At 34.7% G+C, this 20,509-nt stretch overlaps 1 protein-coding gene across 1 annotated transcript in view; it reads left to right on the top strand.

Annotated features, from left to right (window-relative positions):
- MYCBP2 (MYC binding protein 2) overlaps positions 1-20,509 on the top strand; it is a 282,438-nt gene that overhangs the window by 72,691 nt on the left and 189,238 nt on the right. The window contains exons 15-17 of the mRNA NM_015057.5: positions 3,049-3,253; positions 10,453-10,598; positions 11,244-11,345. Of these exons, the coding sequence (NP_055872.4) occupies positions 3,049-3,253; positions 10,453-10,598; positions 11,244-11,345 (453 nt within the window). The remainder of the gene's footprint in view (positions 1-3,048; positions 3,254-10,452; positions 10,599-11,243; positions 11,346-20,509) is intronic.

The following is a 20,509-nucleotide window of genomic DNA, read 5'->3' as shown; positions in this document are numbered from 1 at the left end:
TTGTCATTTTTTTTCAGTTAAAAAAAAATCACAGATAAGATTCAAGTGCCCCATATCCCCCTTCCAAGGCTTATTATCATATTCCATTTCTCCCCAGAGCTAACCGCGATCATGACTTTGATAAGCATACGTTCAATCATGTTCTTATATATTTTTACATGTTCTTTTATATTTTATGTGTAAAATAATATTGCATAATGATGTCTGTTTTACACATAAAATATACTACTGTTTTATGTGTTTTTATAAGTGTTAATCTGTTATTTACATTTTTCTACAAATTTTTTTTTCTCATCATTCTGTTAGAAATATGTCCATGTTGGTACATATAAATCTAAATGATTCATGTTAACTAATGTGTAATATACCACACAGTGAACATGCTATAGTGTATCCATTCTCCTGTTGATGGATGGGCTTATTTCCAATTTTTCATTGTTATAAATGAGTTTAAAACCTCCTTTATAAATGTTTCCTGGAAAACCTGTGAGACTTTCTCTGATGTAATTGCTCTATTGTGGATTTCAGTTTTACTGGATTTTTCTTGAAAGAGATTGTAACAATTTATACTCTCACCAGTAGAGTTGGATTTTCCACATCACATCTGATATTGACAGACTGATTTTTGTCAGTTTGGTGGCTATGAAATGATACTGTAATTTTTTATTTGTTACATTGAAGTATAATATGCATGCAGGAAAATATACATAGTATCTTGATGAATTTTCTCAAATTGATTGTATTCATGTAATCAGCACCCAGATTAAGAAACCACATATTACCAGCAGCCCAGAAAGCCCCACTGTATGTTCCTCTCTGCCCTTCAGTTAATTACCATAAATTAGTTTTCTTTTTATACTTGATATAAGTGAAATCATGCAGTATGAACTCTTTTGTGTCCAGTTTCTTTTTATTGTTTTATGTTTATGAAGTTCATACATATTGTTACAAGTAGTTATAGATTGTTCATTTTTGTTCTATTAAATTATATATAGATACTACAGTTTTAAAATTGTTTCTAGTATTTGGGCATTTGGATGGTTTCCAGTTTTGGTTATTATGAATAATGTTGCTGTGAACATTCTAGTAAATGTCTTTTGGTGAAAGTGTTTATTCATGGCTTTTGGGTATATACCTAGGAGTAGAATTGCTGGTTCTCTCACTTTTCTTTTAATTTTCATTCCCTTGATTATTAATACTGAGTTTGAACATCTCTTCAAACTTTATTTTACTTACTAAAAATTGATTTGTAGGAGCTTTTTTACGTATTATGTTTTATATATCTTTGACTAACCTGTGGTTTACAGTTTCATTTGTTATGTATAATTTTAAAATTTTGATGTCAAAATTTTCAACCTTTTTCTTTATAAATTTTTGATGAATGTAGCCTGGTGAGAGATTTTATTTTCCATATAAATTAGAACCAGCTTTATTTGCTTGGCATTGTGATTGAGATTCCATTGACTGTAAAGATTAATTTGAGGATAATAGTTCCAGTATTGGAATGATTAAATGAGTAATGCTTATAGAGCTAGTTACAAATAGTGCTCAGTACATTTTAGCTATGATTATTGAAAATAGTCACTGAGGCTTCCTTCAGGATCACTTTATTCTAATCCTAGATATAGCTAGCTGATGCTTGGTTATCTAATTTTTCTGCTTGCCCATAGATTAGAAGTGGCAAAACCCCAAAAGGCTATATATGCTATGAGTTTATTTCTTGGTTAGATAGACCTGTATTGAGTGATAGCTGTATGTTAAATGGATGTGATAGGTGTGAGAGAATAAGATTGACTAAGAATAAGAGATATTATGAGCAAGACTTAACCTCATAACTTAGATCCTTTAGGAAAGTCAAATATAAAAAATAATTACTTGACTCCCACAGATTTGTTCTCCTGTCATAGGGTCTTATAACACTGTGTTCCTTCAAAACCCTACCAGTTGTAGTTTACATTTTTATTTGGTTATTTGATTAATGTCTGTCTTTCTTACTACATTATAAGCTTCATAACAGCTCAGTATTACCGTCTTCAGTTTCTAGAGCAGAGGTCTGCAGAGTATAACCTGATGTCATTTTTTTATATAGCCCTCTAAGCTAAAAATTGATTTTACATTGTAAGGATTGTAAAAAATGTGACAAAGATTTGTATGGGCCACAGAGCCTAAATTATTTACTGGCTCTTTATAAAAGGTTTGCTGATTTCTTGCCGTGAAGGAATCCCTGGAGTATAGTAGGTGTTCAATTTAGAAAAAAAGATGAATGAATTGTATTGTAACACCATTTTAAAAAGTTGTTAGGTGAGGTATAAACAGGCACTGAGGAGGTAGTGACTGACTGCCTGGAAAAGGTAGCAAGTGCTTTAATAGGGAATGACTTCTGAGCTGAATTTTTGAAGGCTGAAGTTTCTCTACTAGATGAGATAGGCAGAGACATCTTGTAAATGAGGAAGGAAGAGGCAGAGGGAGCAAGAATGAACAAAGGCCCTGAGCATATGGAAGGACACAGGGTGTTTGGAGAGCAGAGGGAAAAGAAATGAGATTGGAGAAAATTAGGAGCCATCTTGTGCCTACTGCCTCTTGCTGAGTTTTGTTCTTCTGAAGACCTTGGAAGGTCACTGGAGGTTTGTAAATTATGAAGTTGTCATGTGCTTTGGGAGGGTGATTGGTGGCAGTAGGAGGATGATCTAGAGTGGGGAACTCTTGGCTTGGAGCATGGTTGGGAGGCTTTCTTTGGTCTGTTGAATGAAAGTGTTGGTAGTGAGGATGGAAAACAGGAAAAGATTTAAAAGTATGATTGACAGAAGGTAACAGCCAAGAGACATTTGACAATAGCCTTCCTTGCCTTCTTTTGCAGAAATGAAATGGGGAGAGTGTTTATTAGTGGTCCCTAAATTAAAATTTATTTTTGTTACTCAAATTTAAGCATTTCTTTGTATAATTGCTTGGATTAGCATGCTGTCATTTTTTAAACTGGGAAATATAGTCATCCATCTTTTATACATGAAAGTAACCTGTATAAAAATTACAAATTGATCTGTCAAATAGGGTTTGGAGTTGAAAATATGGCAACAGCAATGGATGAAGACCTGGAAGAAGAACTAGATGAAAAAGATGAGAAGTCTATGATGTGCCCTCCAGGCATGCACAAATGGAAGCTGGAGCAGTGCATGGTTTGCACTGTCTGTGGAGACTGTACAGGTTATGGAGCCAGCTGTGTCAGTAGTGGACGGCCAGACAGAGTCCCCGGAGGGTAAGAGACAATGATTCCTACTAAAGAACATGTGCAGAACACATTTCTTTGCAAAATCATTCCGGAGTATACTCTACTATTAATATTTTTTTCTTAAAGACCAGTGGCATCTTCACTTGATCTTAGCCAAAAGGCCAAGAAAGTATTATAATTCTTATAATTGTTTTCTGTTATAATAATTTATAATTTAATGTCATCTCTAAGGTTGCCTTTCTTTCATTTGATTCATTTAAACCATTATTTAAAAACAGACCATAAGTTTTTCAAGACTTGGGGCTGTACTTTTATTTGTATTATTTTTCAAAGCCTATTTAATGCTAGATATCTATTATATTTCTTTCTGTTGAACATGAATCTTTTCTAAATAAAATTATCGATATCATAAAGAGTACTTGATTAGATATATAGTTTTGTTTTAAATTAAATGTACCATTTATAAATTTAGAAACGTTGTATGCTTGCTTCTAAAGTTACATCATACCTGCTATATTTATCCTTGTTCTCAATGGACCACATTTTTCAGGGTTCTATATTATTGTCAATTTACAGTTAATATGTAAGTTTGGCAGAATAAGAATGCAGGTTTTCTGCTAGGATGTTAGGAAGAATTTTGAATCTATTTTCTACATTGCTAGTTATAGCCACTATAACATGATGGGATATTCTTTGTGTGATCAGCTTTGTAATAATTGGCTGATTTGGGGGAGTAGAGAAAATTTTGTGAAGAGAAGCCCAGAAGGAAGACAGCCATCCCTGCCTCTTGACCTTCCTCTTTGTCAACTCTGTAATAGTTGCTTCTTCCCAAATATTGTCTGGATCTAATAGGAGTTTATTTCTAAGTTTATATTTGGCCTTTCATAGTTAAATAGGTCATATATAACAGGCCTTTTCTTTAAGGCTGCTGAGATATGATTTTTTTTTTTTTTTTGAGACGGAGTCTCGCTCTGTCGCCCAGGCTGGAGTGCAGTGGCGGGATCTCGGCTCACTGCAAGCTCCGCCTCCCGGGTTCACGCCATTCTCCTGCCTCGACCTCCCAAGTAGCTGGGACTACAGGCGCCCGCCACTACGCCCGGCTAATTTTTTGTATTTTTAGTAGAGACGGGGTTTCACCGTTTTAGCCGGGATGGTCTCGATCTCCTGACCTCGTGATCCGCCCGCCTCGGCCTCCCAAAGTGCTGGGATTACAGGCGTGAGCCACCGCGCCCGGCCATGAACTTTTAAAAACAAATTTTCTTTACATTATTAGTATAAGCAATAAAGTCGTCTTTATCAAAGGATAATATTTATTCTGTAGTGCTTTATGTTTGGCTCTGTTTTCTGTTTTTTAAGCACCTAACTTCTTTATTTTTAAATTTAATTTGGATGCAGAAAGACTCTGATTATTTTTTAACAATGTTGGAATTGAAATTTATTCTCCTGGATCTCTCCAACGCTATTTCCATTAAAATTCAGTGTTAGCTGGGTGTAGTGGCCCATGTCTGTAATCCCAGCACTTTGGGAGGCTGAGGCCAGAGGATCACTTGAGGCCAGGAGTTTGAAACCAGCTTCAGCAGCATAGCAACACCCCTAACTCAAAAAATATATAATAAAAATAAAATTTAATATCCCCACTCTCTGAGCTTAAGCAGCCAGTATATATCGTGAACAAAATCTATAAATTATCTGGTCCCTTTTGAAATTAATTATTCTTCGTTTTTTCCTCCAGAGACTTACATAATTTATAATAATTATTCATAGACTTACATGGACAATACTAACCAAGTATAATAATTGCTTTATGAATGAAGCAAACTGAATATATCAGAATATTAAGGACTATTAAGCTGACTTCAATTATTATAAAATTGTGACTACATATCTTATTATGATAAAGTACATATAAAATTGACCAGCTTAACCATTTTTAAGTAGACAGTTCTGTGGTATTAAATCCATTCATAATGTTGTGCAACTATTACCACCATGCATCTCCATAACTTTTCATCTTGTAAAACTGAGACTCTGTAACTGTTAAACAATGACTCCTCATTCTTCCCTCTCCCCTGCCTCTGGCATCCACTATTCTTGTTTTCTTTCTGTGTCTGATTGACTACTCTAGGTACCTCTCATATAAAGAGAATCAGAGTATTTGTCTTTTTTGTGACTGGCTTATTTCACTTAGCATAATATCCTCAGTTCATCCAGGTTGTCACATATGTCGGAACATCTTTGCTTTTTGAGGCTGAATAATATTCTATTGTATGTATATTACCACATTTTGCTTATCCATTCACTCACTGATGAACACTTTGGTTGCTTCCACATTGTAACTATTGTGAGTAATGCGCTGTGAAGATGAGTGTACAAGGAGCTCTTTGAGACCCTGTTTTCAGTTCTTTTGGGCATATACCCAGAAGTGGAATTGTTGGACTATATGGTAATTTTATTTTTAATCTTTTGAGGAACTGCCATACTATTTTTCACAGCGGCCAACCATTTTACATTCCCACCAATAGTGTACAGATGTTCCAGTTTCTCCACATCCTTCTTAACACTTATGATCTGTTATTTTGGTAGTGGCATCCTAATGGGTGTGAGATAGTATCTCATTATAGTTTTGATTTGAATTTCTCCAGTGATTAGTGATGTTCAGCATCTTTCCATATACTTTTTGGCCATTTGTAGATCTTTGGAGAAATGCTATTCAAGTCCTTTGCTCACTTTTGAATCAGGTTGTCAGTTTCTTTTGTTGTTGTTGATGAGTTTTAGGAATTCTCTATATAGTTTGAATATTAATTCCTTATCAGATATATGATTTGAAAATAAAAAGTTCTGTCTGTGGGTTGTGTTTTTACTCTGTTGATGTTGTCTTTTCAAGCAGAAAATTTTTAAAATTTTCATGAAGTCCAGTTGTCTATTGTTTTTTGGTTATTGTCGCCTGTGCCTTTGGTATCATATCCAAGAAATTATTTCCCAATCTAGTGTTGTGAAGGGTTACTGTTATCTTTTCTTCTTCTTTTTTTTTTTTTGATTATACTTTAAGTTTTAGGGTACATGTGCGCAACGTGCAGGTTAGTTACATATGTATACATGTGCCATGTTGGTGTGCTGCACCCATTAACTCGTTATTTAACATTAGGTATATCTCCTAATGCTATCCCTCCCCGCTTCCCCCACCCCACAACAGGCCCCGGTGTGTGATGTTCCTTTTCTTCTAAGAGTTTTTTGTTTTTTTTTGTAATAGTTTTAGGTCTTACATTTAGGTCTTTGATTCATTTTGAGTTAATTTTTGTATATGCTGCTAGAGAAGTGTCCAGATCAAGTTTTCCCAGCAATGTTTATTGAAATGATTATCCTTTCTCTATTGAACCATCTTGGCTCCTTTGTCAAAAATCATCTGACCATATATGTGAAGGAAGATTTCTCAGCTGTCTATTCTATCCCATTGGTCTGTATGACTGTCTTTATGCCACACCACATTGTTTTGATTACTGTAGATTTGTAGTAAGTTTTGAAGTCAAAACCGAGTACTTTGTTCTTCTTTTTCAAGATTGTTTGGCTATTTGAGGTCCCTAGAGATTTTCTATGAATTTTAGGATAGGTTTTTCTATTTTGTAAAAACCATCATTGGGATTTTGATAGGGATTACAATGAATCTGTAGATTGCTTTGGGTAGTATGAACATCTTAAAAACATTAAGTCTTCTAATCCATGAACATAGATGTGTTTCTACTTATGTCATCTTTAATTTCTTTCAGCAATGTTTTGTAGTTCTCATTTCACCTCATTGGTTAATTACTAAGTGTATTCTTTTTGATGCTATGGAATTGTTTCTGTAATTTCCTTTTCATATTGTTCATTGTTAGTGTCTAGAAATACAACTGATTTTTGTGTGTTGACTTTGTATCTTCCTACTTTGCTGAATTCATTTTCTCTATTGGTTTTTTTGAGTGCAATCTTTAGGGTTTTCTACTTATGAGATTGTATTATCTGTGAACATAGATAATTTTACTTCTTCCTTTCTGCTTTGGATGACCTTTATTTCTTTTCCTGTCCAATTGCCCTGGCTAGAACTTCTAGTGCTGTTTAGGATTGGTCAAAGTGAGCATCCTTGTCTTCTTCCTGATATTACGAGGAAAAGCTTTCAGTCTCTCACCATTATGATGTTCACTGTGTGTTTTTCATATGTGGTTTTTATGTTGAGATCATTTCCTTCTATTCCTAGTTTGTCTACTGTTTTTATTATGAAAGGGCATTGAATTTTGTCAAATGCTTTTTGTACATCAATTGAGATGATCATGTGTTTCTTTTCTTTCATTCTGTTAATGTGTTACATTACATGGATTGATTTTCATTTGTTGCATTCCAGGAGTAAATCCCACTTCGTTATGGTGTATAATTCTTTTAATATCCTGCTGAATTTGTTTTGTTAGTATTTTGTTGAGGATTTTCACATCATTATTCATAAGGGATATTGGTCTGTAGGGGTTTTTTTTTTTGCCTCCCCCTGCCCCTCTCCCTCCTCCCTTTCTTCTCTTTCTCCTTCTCCTTCTTCTTTCTTCTCCTCCTCCTCTTCCTCCTTCTCCTTCTTTTCCTCCTTCTCCTTCTCCTCCTGCTCCTCCTCCTCCTCCTTCTCCTTCTTTTCCTCCTTCTCCTCCTTCTCCTTCTTTTCCTTCTTCCTTCTTCTTCTTTCTTCTCTTCTTTCTTCTTCTTTTTCTTCATCTTTTGTCTGACATTGGTATTGGGGTAATCCTGACCTCAAAGAATGAATTCTTGTTCTCTCCTCTTCAGTTTTTTGGAAAATTTTGAGAATTGGTGTCATAAACACTATTTTAAAAATAGTGTCAGTCAGGCATATTACTGTGTCACAGTTTTTACTGTGTAGTAAGTGATCTTCCAAATTGTTTATAATGCTTGCTTTTAAAAGTGACACATTTCACAGGGTGTCTAGCTATGTCTTTTAAACTGCTGCCAGATATGTTCTTCCTTTTGTACCTTCTGAAATCTGTATAACCTGGGGTTCAACAAGGCTGTCAAAAGTTTCAAGAACTGATCTGATGAACTACATTAAAGCTATACCTTCTACAAAATATGTGACTAAGAAGTTACTTTCCCTGACCCCAAGTCAGTTTCTGGGAGTGTCTTTGTCAACATATACCCCATATGGTTCACAATCGATATGAAAGGGCTGAAGGAGAAAAAGAACAGGTAATTGGACTCTGTGAAAGGAGAGAATGGGAGGTGAAGGCATGTAAAGAAGAGAGGGGGAAGGAGACATATATGTGTTTGTGTGTGTGTATATATATGTGTGTGTGTGTGTATACATATATATATACATATATATGTATTATTTTTTCCTTTCCAATGTGTGAATGTTTTTATTTCCTTTGTGTGTGTGTGTGTGTGTGTGTGTGTGTGTGTGTGTGTTACTTTACGTTCTGGGATACATGTGCAGAACGTGCAGGTTTGTTACATAGGTATACACATGCCATGGTGGTTTGCTGTACCTGTCAACCGGTCATTAGGTATTTCTCCTAATGCTATCCCTCCCCTAGCCCCCACCCCCCAACAGGCCCCAGTATGTGATGTTCCCTTTCCTGTGTCCATGTGTTCTCATTGTTCAACTCCCACTTATGAGTGAGAACATGCAGTGTTTGGTTTTCTGTTCCTGGGTTAGTTTGCTGAGAATGATGGTTTCCAGCCTTCATTCATGTCCCTGCAAAGAACACGAACTCATTCTTTTTTATGGCTGCATAGTATTCCATAGTGAATATGTGCCACATTTTCTTTATCCAACCTATCATTGATGAGCATTTGGGTTGGTTCCAAGTCTTTGCTATTGTGAATAATGATGAAATAAACGTACATGTACATGTGTCTTTGTAGTAGGATGATTTATAATCCTCTGGGTATATACCTAGTAATGGGACTGCTGGGTCAAATGGTATTTCTGATTCTAGATCCTTGAGGAATTACCACACTGCCTTCCACAATGGTTGAACTAATTTACACTCCCACCAACAGTGTAAAAGCGTTCCTATTTCTCCACATCCTCTCCAGAATCTGTTGTGTCCTGACTTTTTAATGATCACCATTGTAACTGGCGTGACATGTTTTCTCATTGTGGTTTTGATTTGCATTTCTCTAATGACCAGTGATGGTGAGCTTTTTTTCGTTTGTTGGCTGCATAAATGTCTTCGTTTGAGAAGTGTCTGTTCTTATCCTTCGCCCACTTTTTGATGGGGTGGTTTGTTTTCTTGTAAATTTAAGTTCTGCTGCATAAATAAATGTCTTCTTGTAAGAAGTGTCTGTTCATATCCTTTGCCCACTTTTTGATGGGGTTGTTTGTTTTCTTGTAAATGTGTTTAAGTTCTTTGTAGATTCTGGATATTAGCCCTTTGTCAGATGAGTAAATTGCAAAAATTTTCTCCCATTCTGTAGGTTGCCTGTTCACTCTGATGATACTTTCTTTTGCTGTGCAGAAGCTCTTTAGTTTAATTAGATCCCATTTGTCAATTTTGGCTTTTGTTGCCATTGCTTTTGGTGTTTTAGTCATGAAGTCTTTGCCCATGCCTGTGTCCTAAATGGTATTACCTAGGTTTTCTTCCAGGGTTTTTATAGTCTTAGGTCTTATGTTTAAATCTTTAATCCATCTTGAATTAATTTTTGTATAAGGTGTAAGGAAGGGGTCCAGTTTCAGTTTTCTGCATATGTCTAGCCAGTTTTCCCAGCACCATTTATTAAATAGGGAATGGGAAGGAGACATATTACATGAAGCTGGCAAGCTTAGGCTCTGTTGCTGAAGGCTACCAACACCTGCCTTCACTTATCTGCTGGACAGCAACATTGTTTGATTGTTTTTAGCCAACCAACCCATCTGGGTCACTTAATCCTAAAGCTTCTGGTGCTTCACTAACTGCAAAAAGACTTTTAAAGGATTGTTTTTAAAGTAGTGACTTTGATGATAGTCGAATCTGTGTGTATTTTCTGTAGAAATATACCAATTATGCCTATTGGGAGTTTAATCAGTCTTGTTTTTAATTATTCTGCTATTTATATCTTTTCTTTAAAATGAACAATCGTGATCTAAAGAGGTGATTTCATTGCTTACTCATTTAACAATTTCAAAAATGTGGAAAATAAGTTATAGAAAAGAGTTTTAAAGACAAATTAGGAATATCTCAGTTGTCTTTTTTTTTTTTTTTTGTATTTCCCCCTAGGATCTGTGGTTGTGGTTCCGGAGAATCTGGTTGTGCTGTGTGTGGATGTTGCAAGGCCTGTGCAAGAGAGTTAGATGGTCAAGAGGCAAGACAAAGAGGAATTCTTGATGCAGTGAAAGAAATGATACCTTTAGATCTTCTTTTAGGTAATTTTGATTGATTATACTATGCTACACTGAGTTGTCCTCAACTCAGTAAGTCTGACAGTTTAAACAATTTCTTTTAGATATATGTTAATAAATTAGGATAATAATTAATGTATGCAATACTGCTTTTACGGTAACTGACAATATGACATTGTTTAAGGGATGAGATTCTTTTTTTTTTTTTTCTTTTTTTGAGATGGAGTCTTGCTCTGTTGCCAAGGCTGGAGTACAGTAGCTCAATCTCAGCTCACTGCAACCTCCGCCTTCTAGGTTCAAGTGATTGTCCCATCTCGGCCTCCCGAGTAGCTGGAATTACAGGTGCCCGCTACCACACCTGGCTAATTTTTGTATTTTTAGTAGAGACGGGGTTTCACCATGTTGGCCAGGCTGGTCTTGAACTCCTGACCTCAGGTGATCTGCCCACCTTGGCCTCCCAAAGTGCTGGGATTACAGGTGTGGGCCACCATGCCTAGCCAGAATGAGATTCTTTTTCCCTTTTTGGCTAAGAATTATTAAAGTAAAAATATTGTGTGTTTTAGACAATGTTTTTGCTAGCTTTTACTTTCTTGAATTTTATGTAGTTCTGTCATAGCTATTATATAACATATATGTTGTTGTTGTTGTTGTTTTTGGCCAATCATCTAGCTGTCCCAGTGCCCGGGGTTAACATTGAAGAACACCTTCAGTTACGACAAGAAGAAAAACGGCAACGTGTAATCAGAAGGCACAGATTAGAGGAAGGAAGAGGTAAGATGTAGCTACAGAGAAAAAGTACATGAAAATCCACTTTCCTACCCTATCCTGAAACCACTGAAAAGTTCACACAATAAACTAATTTGGTAAGAAATCATCAAAATTAAAATTAGCAATATTCTGATAACTCATATAATGGGAAAATATTCAGGGTATTCATGCTTCTTCTAATAACATACGTTTAGGTATTTATAATTGTGCTAATAACATACTTTTAATTCAGCAGGGTGTTTATGGCATAAGTCAGCCATATTAAGAACTGTGCCATCTGCCTACTATCAATAACTATTAGAAATGGCAACTTTTTAAAAATAGATATTCTCACAACTTGTCCTTCACCCGGACTTTGGACTCATCTATTTGACCGTGGAACAAAATTCAATTTAGTCTTTTTCATTTCTATTTTCTTACTCATTTATGCTCATTATCATTTGGACATAGTCCTGCTATGCTGCCCTCCAGTTCAGCACATAACTATGCTTTCATGTGTCCTTTTTTGGAAAAACCTCATTCTAGTTATTTACAGGAAGAGTAAGATGGCAGGTCTGCAGGTTTCATTTGCAAAGATAGGTCTATTGTTTATCTTTTCCTCATTGTTTATGAGCTTAAAAGTTTCTTAGCTTAAAAATACATTTAACTGGCCAGGCACGGTGGCTCACGCCTGTAATCCCAGCACTTTGGGAAGCTGAGGCAGGCAGATCACAAGATCAAGAGATCAAGACCATCCTGGCCAACATGGTGAAACCCCATCACTACTAAAAGTACAAAAAAATTAGCTGGGCGTGGTGGTGTGCGCCTGTAGTCCCAGCTACTCAGGAGACTGAGGCAGGAGAATCACTTGAACCTGGCAGGTGGAGCTTGCAGTGAGCCATGATCGCACCACTGCACTCCAGCCTGGCGACAGAGTGAGACTCCATCTCAAAAGAAAACAAACAAAAAAAATTTAACTGTGGTTATAATTGGTATTTGAATACGCAAAGATAAATATATGTATTACTAAAGATTTCCTTGCTCAGTAAATTTTTTTTTTGTAGGATTAAGACAAATTGTTATGGAAGTCTATGATTTTATTCCTCCAATAGGCAAAATTTTGATTAGAAATGTTTACTGATATTGCATATTTTAAATGCTTATTAGAAATGGCATGATATTTGATGCATGAAATAAACCTTTTACCCATTTAACCATCATTATATTTTTTTCTAGCTATTCTTTTTGTTAATATATGGAATAAGTAGTAAAATGTATAATACACATGGTGAATTCTAGTTTTACTAAACTTAAATTGTAAAACATATACTTGGCACATGAAGAGTGTTCTTCATAGCATCTGATAAGTGATGTTGATTGATAAGGTGAATATTTACTATTGTTTGGCTTTGCTTGCATAATGTCCTTTAAAGGATATTTTAATGAGATTAATATAGATACTGTCAGTATTTACATTATATAAGTATATGGGAAAATTGCATGTTAAATATTTCTTACAAAACAGGATAGAATTAAGTTTCTGATGTGGTAATTAATAATTTTTTATGTTGATATAATTTTTTCAGATTAGTTACCATTCTATCTGTTTGCTACCTGTTTCTTCTTTCTTTAGAAATATTAGGTTGAGCGACATGAATGAACCTACAAAATGCAGCTATTTCTTACATTTAAACTACAGTATAGCACATCCTTACACTTAATTATTCACATTTAATTACTTGCCTAATGCGGTGTATCTTGTTACTCTTTTTCTCTTCCCTCTAAAAAAGCTATTCTTCTCTAGGTATAGTATATTTGTGCATATAGGAAATAAAGGAACATTGAATCGTGCATTGATAACTTGACATAACTTGGTGATTGCAGAATATTCTTTTGCCATTTATTTTTAAATTTGACATAAACCTGTGAAACATAATTGTAAACATTAACCCTTTAAAGTTAAAAAAAAAATCCTCCACTAGCTAAATATTTAAAGAAATTATGTTGTTGTATCTGACTTTCCAAAGATAGATTGAGGTTCTAGGCACTTAGTGTATATTTTGTGACAAATAGGTTTCATCTGCAGTCCTAAATATATAGAACATCAGTAGAAACACTTTGTTCAGATTATTGGTGTACATAAATTTTATCTTGTCCTTATTTTTTGGTAGAACTCTTTCTTAGATCACCCTCCTTCATGTTTGGTAAAACAATATATAGTGAATATCTTTTCTTGAGTGGAATCTTCAGTATGAACCTCAATTATCACAGTCCTTGCTTTCCATGGCACTAAAATTAACAGAAATGTGTGCACATTGGAACCATGTCCTCCCCTTTCACAGTCACCACAGTTACCTAGAATCATGCGAAAGGAGGACAGAGTTCCCGTATTTCTGTGTTTCAGTTAACACAGCACTATGCAAAGTGATGCCTGCTTGTATGTTTTGTTTGTTTGTTTATTTATTTATTTATTTTGAGATGAAGTCTCACTCTGTTGCCCAGGCTGGAGTGCAGCTGCACAATCTTGGCCCACTGCAACCTCTCCCTCCCAGGTTCAAGCGATTCTCCTACATCAGCCTCTTGAGTAGCTGGGACTACAGGTGCCCGCCACCACGCCTGGCTAATTTTTGTATTTTTAGTAGAGGCGAGGTTTCACCATGTTGGCCAGGCTGGTTTCAAACTCCTGACGTCAAATGATCCACCTGCCTCAGCCTCCCAAAGTGTTGGGATTATAGGTGTGAGGCACTGTGCCCAACCTATTTTATTTTAAATGAATATTTTTGCATTTGGACAAGAATTCTAACTATGTATTCATTTTTTAAAAAATCAAACTTCAGAGTCATTCAGTGACTTTGGAAATCCTTATACTGTATTAAGTAATTAAAAATCTATTCTGATATGACACTTTTATGATTTTATCTTTATATTATTCTTAGCACTCCATTAAGCAATTTTTATTTAAAAACAAATTTTTATAAGAAAACAAAATTAGATGAATATGATATACTTACACTTCCATAGAGATAAAACAAGAAAGATAAATACCAAAATATTAACAATGCTTTTTCCTGACAGGTGAGTTTATAGATATTTTTTATTTTCTTCTTTACAATTTGTTTCCTAAATATTCTCCAATAAGCATATTAGTGTATAAATAGAGTAAAAGTTATGTTTTACAACTGAAGCCATTTTAAAAAAATACTGATTAGGTTTAAGGCATCCATACTTTGCTTACCTTTGCTTTTTAAAAAATATTTTTATTTTAATTGGATGGAGGACTCTCTTTCAGGTGCTGTGCTTTTCATTACTTTCTGGCCATGGTTCTCAAGGTGGTCTCAAAGGGACCAGCATCACTTGGGCACTTGTTAGAAGTACCAGTTCTCAGGCCCCACTTCAGATCTCTACTGAAACAAAAAACTGGGGGAGTACAGCCAGTAAACTGTGCTTTAATAGCGTTCCAGGTGATTCTGATGGTCCCAAAGTGTGAGACTTAGTGTGCTAGGTCAGTTGTTTGCACTTTGCGGTTTGATCCAATGACCTTCTGCATCAGAATCACCTGGGCCTAATGAATCAGAATTTATGGGTCAAGGGTCTTGGAAATAGATCTGAGTCACTTGCACAGTGTTCTAAGGCTCTTCTCTGGCACTGTGCTAGAAAAGATTGTAGTGGCTTTGCTCCCATGAGGAATAGAAACATCAAATAAAATGTTAGTGTTCCGGCTGCCATACATACAGATCTTTTATTTCTTTGGCCTGTTGATACTTTTTAGAAACTAAAAATTTAGTAGTATGTTAATAATTATACTTACTAGTAATTGGCTTTTACCTGTGTTAACATTTCAGAATTTAAGAATTAGGTTATGTTAGATTATTTTACTTGACTTTTCTGTCTCATCTTATTTACCAAGTCTGAACTAAGTTTTTCATAGATGATCAGAACTCTGGGCTCTAGTTCTTTTTTTTTGAGTCACAGTCCCACTCTGTTACCCAGGCTGGAGTGCAGTGGTGCGATCTCGGCTCACTGCAACCTCCGCCTCTCGGTTTCAAGCGATTCTCCTGCCTCGGCCTCCCGAGTAGCTGGGATTATAGGCATGCACCACCACACCTGGCTAATTTTGCATTTTTGTTAGAGATGGGGTTTCACCATGTTGGCCAGGCTGGTCTCAAACTTCTGACCTCAGGTGATCAGCCTCCCAAAGTGCTGGGAGTACAGGTGTGAGCCACTGCGCTCGGCCTGGGCCCTAGTTCTTGTACTAAAGCCTTGCTCAGACAGCTTCAGGCCTATTGACGTAATTTAGTTACTGTTTTATGACACCAGGTCTCTTATAATGGAATGTGTTATTGAAACCCAAGAAAGCAATGATATTACTGCTTCTTCATACATTTGGAACTTTTTAATTTTAAATCTTTGTGTTATTAATAGTCTAGTTAATTTTTTTAATTTATCTTTTTAGGTATTAATAGTATTCATTTATAGATTTTAGTTCAATGGTTTGTGATAACTTGTCTTTTTTAGATTATATTGGGTTGATTGATGTATTAATTTAACTGTGCAAGTGAAGTGCTTATTCAGTGAAATTCTTAAGTAGGGCTCTTGAAGTCATCAGAAGAACTAGTGGATGATCATATCAATGATTTTATCCTTATATTCCTTTTCAGCACTCTGTTTCGTAAGGAAAATTAAACTTCAATAATGTTAGCTTTTTCTTCTTTCTTCTAAGTATCCAAGTTTCATAATTGTGAGCTGTAGATGGGCTAAACCCATGTCCTGGCTTACATGGGAGAGTCCCATTTTATAGGTGTCCAGGCATATTTCTTTTTTTTTTTTTTTTTTTTTTTTTGAGACGGAGTCTCGCTCTGTCGCCCAGGCTGGAGTGCAGTGGTGCTATCTCGGCTCACTGCAAGCTCCGCCTCCTGGGTTCACACCACTCTTCTGCCTCAGCCTCCCGAGTAGCTGGGACTGCAGGCGTTCACCACCACACCGGGCTAATTTTTTGTATTTTTACTAGAGATGGGGTTTCACTTTGTTAGCCAGGATAGCCTCAATCTCCTGACCTTGTAATCCGCCTGCCTTGGCCTCCCAAAGTGCTGGGATTACAGGCGTGAGCCACCGCGTCCGGCATGTTGCTATTACTTTTTAAGCCCTTAAAACCATTATGGTTTTCTTGATTTGACGCATCAAATCCAATATTAGCTGATATTCCAGTGACACATAAAAGTCTCTTTTTAAATTAAAGTATTATATGAAGAATTTAGAGAGTATAAGTAAGAAAAAATAGATCAGCATAACCCTTTATACAAAGAGAACCATTAGTAGAATTTTGGTGTAACTTCTCACACTTTTTTACTTATTTCATATAATTTCATACTGTGATAGATATTGGTGTCCTGTTTGTATTCCCTTTAATATTATATCATGAAATTTTTTTGTGCTTTATTGCAAATACCATATTAAAGTAATATAGGAATTTAGGTCAAGGTTTTGCATAAACCTATTCCTTAATTCAATTATTGTTTTTATTTCGTTGTCATCTTCTAATCAAGTTTTACTTATTTCTAGTTATATCATTGACTGAATTTTGTTTTACATTTTTGCTTAGTGTTATAATACATATATTTTTATGTTTTGCTTGTATTGTACCCCTACCTTCCCATTTCCATCCCCCCCTCAAAGTAAATGTTAATAGTCTAATATCTTACTCTATTAAAATATAATCATGTACAGAGACTTACACATATGTGAAAGTGTAGACATATGTTTATTTACAAAAGTAGTATTCTGTATATACATTTGCAACATCTTTTTCTCATTTTACAATACAAGAAGAACACACTGTAGGTCAGTAAATGTGGATCTACCACATTCTATACAGTAACTACCTAATATCATAATATGGCTATACCATAGTTTATATAACCATTATTTATTGATGGGCATTCAGGTTATTGTAAGTTTTTGTGGGTTTTACTGTAATAAATATTCTTAAACTTAGAGCTACATATTAGTGTTTGTATAGTAGAGCTTTCCCAAAATAGAATGTGTGGGGCAGAGAGTATATATCTGTCTTAAATTTTAACAGATAATTCACATTGTTTTAAAAATGTTATAGGAATTTGTTTATACTCCCTAGACTAATGTATAAGAGTAGTGTTTTCCTCTAGCATCACCTGTATTCATTATTCTTTTATTTATTTATTTATTTATTTATTTTTTGTAGAGGCAGGATCTTGCTATGTTGCCCAGGCTGGCCTCGAACAACTGGGCCCAAGTGACCCTCCTGCCTCAGCCTCCCGAGTAGCTAGGACTGTACAGGCATGTGCCACCACACCTGGGTTTAGTTATTCTTTTTAATTCTTGGAAAACAGTGGTGAACAATGTTATCTCATTGTTAATTTAAATAACACAAAATCATATTCTGTGTAAAATTATTTCATAAATCTCATTTTAATGGCTGCGTATTATTCCATTTAGTAGATGTATTATAGTTTTTAATTACTTTCATTTGGGTATTTTTAAAATGTTGCTATAATGAATAAAGTTGTAGTAAACACCTTTGAGGTGAAATCCTTTAAAAATATTTTAGAGTTTTCTTTAGGATAGATTCCTAGGGTGCAGTTACTAGATCAAAGGATAATAATTTTTATGATCTTGAAATATATCACCAAGAGCTTTCTGAAAGGCTTGTACTATTTAACACTGCCACTTATTCCATGCTTTTTCTGCCTACCTGCCTACAGATGAACTCTGAATTACCCATTGTCTACACATGAGTGTAGCTTCTATCTAAACCTGGTTATCTCATACCCCTATTTTACTCACTCCTCTCCCAATGAAAGAAATAAATCACCAAGTTCTATTTATACAGCCTTCTTAATTCTTTAATAGCTTTTTAATATCTACTTTTCAGAATCTTACTGTTTCCTTAGCTGAGGCTTCTTTTCTTTGCCTATCTGACAGCAAAAAGCCTTTTAACTGGCCTTACCTCCAGTCTTATCTTCTAAGCCATTAGCCACCTTCTTTCCAGAATATTCATTCTGCAATACAGATCAGATCAGTAGCACTTCTCTGTTTAAAACCAAAAGGCTATTCATAGTCCTTAGGATGAAGGATATACTTTTATCTCTACAGCCTCATCTCTCTCTATTCTCATTTCTTTTCCCTTGCCCTTCCTTTTTTTCCCCTACCTCTGAACCTTTATGCTACTTGTTACCTCCTTTATTTGACCTCATCTTATGTGGTGGTTTCTTTTATCTCTACACTGTCTACCTTCCCACCCTCAAGTTTTGTTAGCTTCTCCTCTAGTTTGTGTGCCTCCTTTTGTTATAGCATACTGTCATAATTTCTTGTTTAGTTGTGTGTAAACCCTCCCTCCCCTCATTAGAATGTGAGCTTCTTGAAGCAGAGATTGTATCTTGTTTATCAAGGGTTCCCAGAACTTCACATGGTACCTGTTAGTACCATGATTTGTAGTATATTTTTGTTGACTAATTGAAAGCAGGTTAGGGACTTATCATCTCTAGAATGAAGTTTTGTGGTATAAAAAGGTTTTAATTATCTGTTTTTTTGCATACCTCTCCAAGCAAATTTCCCAAGACTTTTGCTCCATCACATATACTCTGTAAAAGTCAGCTACATGTATTTTTAATGACTATACAATATTGTTTAATATCTTTATGCTTTTATAAAATCCTAATTTATATCCTATTCCTTTTAACTGGAATGCCCTCTCTTCCTTTCCTTTTCTCTTGTTAAACTTTTTGTCATTCTTTGAAACCTTGCTGATTGTCCTGAGTTTATTTAGTATCTTTTCTTACTTCAGGACATAATGTGTATAGATTTCTTTTATAGCATTTATTGTAATATTTCATAGTTTGTGTTTTTATTTCTGTTTTTTTCCCTAGTGGACTGAATTCCAGTGAGACCTGTATCTTTGTCATTATATTCATTTCACCTAGTGTCTGCTAAATAAAAGATAATCAGAAAATTTGGTGAATAAATTAGTGACTCAACTATATTTAAAGAAACATTATTTTAGCCCATGGGATACAATAGTATTTTCGAGCCCAATTGCTTTAATTTTTAGACATGATTGCCCCCGTGCCTTCTTGATTTATAAATCAAAAGATTCTAAAAAGATTGAATTTAGCAAGACATTAAACGGGTGTGGGTGTGATGTATTTTCATGAGGAGAAACAATATTGTAGGCAGACCATAGAAATCAGAAAATGGTAATATAACAATATTATTACCTTAATATCTATAACTTTTTTATATAGTTGGAAAATACTTTTTATAGTAATTTATATATCTGCTTTGTAACAATTGAGAAATCATGCATGTTAAGAAAATAAGGCATTTTGTTCATATTTGTTCATATTTGAAATATCAATTTTATTACATTTTAGAAATGGAACTCAGTTTACATAACCTTAGCCTGAGAAAATAATTGGTACTGCATTATTGAGAACTTATTCTTCTGTTAACATTAAATTAGCATGTTTCTATCTGTAGTAGTCATAGAATATGTTATTCATGGTTTTTCATACAATTTGAGGTATTTGCATTTTTGTTTATATCTAGAAACATAATTGAAATATGGTTCCTTTACCCACTTGTACATTTAATGAAGGGTACTTTGATATTTAATTTGACATTTATGAAATTTTATTAGAGGGCAGTAGGCTCAATTTGTCCCATCATTAGAAAAATTAAACTGAAGATCAATAGAGAATCATGAAAAAACTTGTTTTAAATAAAAATGTTCAGTGCTTATATAGTGTCATAATTCCTGTTTCAGTTAATGGTAACCTGTCAAATTTAGAGTGTTTTCAAATTTGAAGACATTTTTGATGTTGTTAAAACTCAAGGAAACTATAGTTCTGCTGTATAAGAAAAAAACCTAAAATTTTAAGTTGTAACTAAAATTTATTTTTCTTTTCAAGGTAAATAAATGTTAATGGGAAAAATGATTTATTTTATTTTATTAAAATAAATTTGGCTGTATATTTTTTCCTTAAATACCATATAAGTGGAAAGAGCTATAATCTGTGTGGGTATGTATTTATATATGTATATATATATGTACATAGTGGCACTTTAGAAGAAATGATTTAATGAAAGATGTTTCCAAAATGTTATTTGGGTTAGGTGCCCCCTTTACCATCAATATAAAGCCCAAGCTCCTTTCT

This window comes from Homo sapiens, chromosome 13 (genome assembly GCF_000001405.40).
Source record: "Homo sapiens chromosome 13, GRCh38.p14 Primary Assembly".
Classification (NCBI taxonomy): Eukaryota; Metazoa; Chordata; class Mammalia; order Primates; family Hominidae; genus Homo; species Homo sapiens.
Note: the sequence above shows the minus strand (reverse complement) of the source record. Positions and strands in the feature narration are given on the sequence as shown.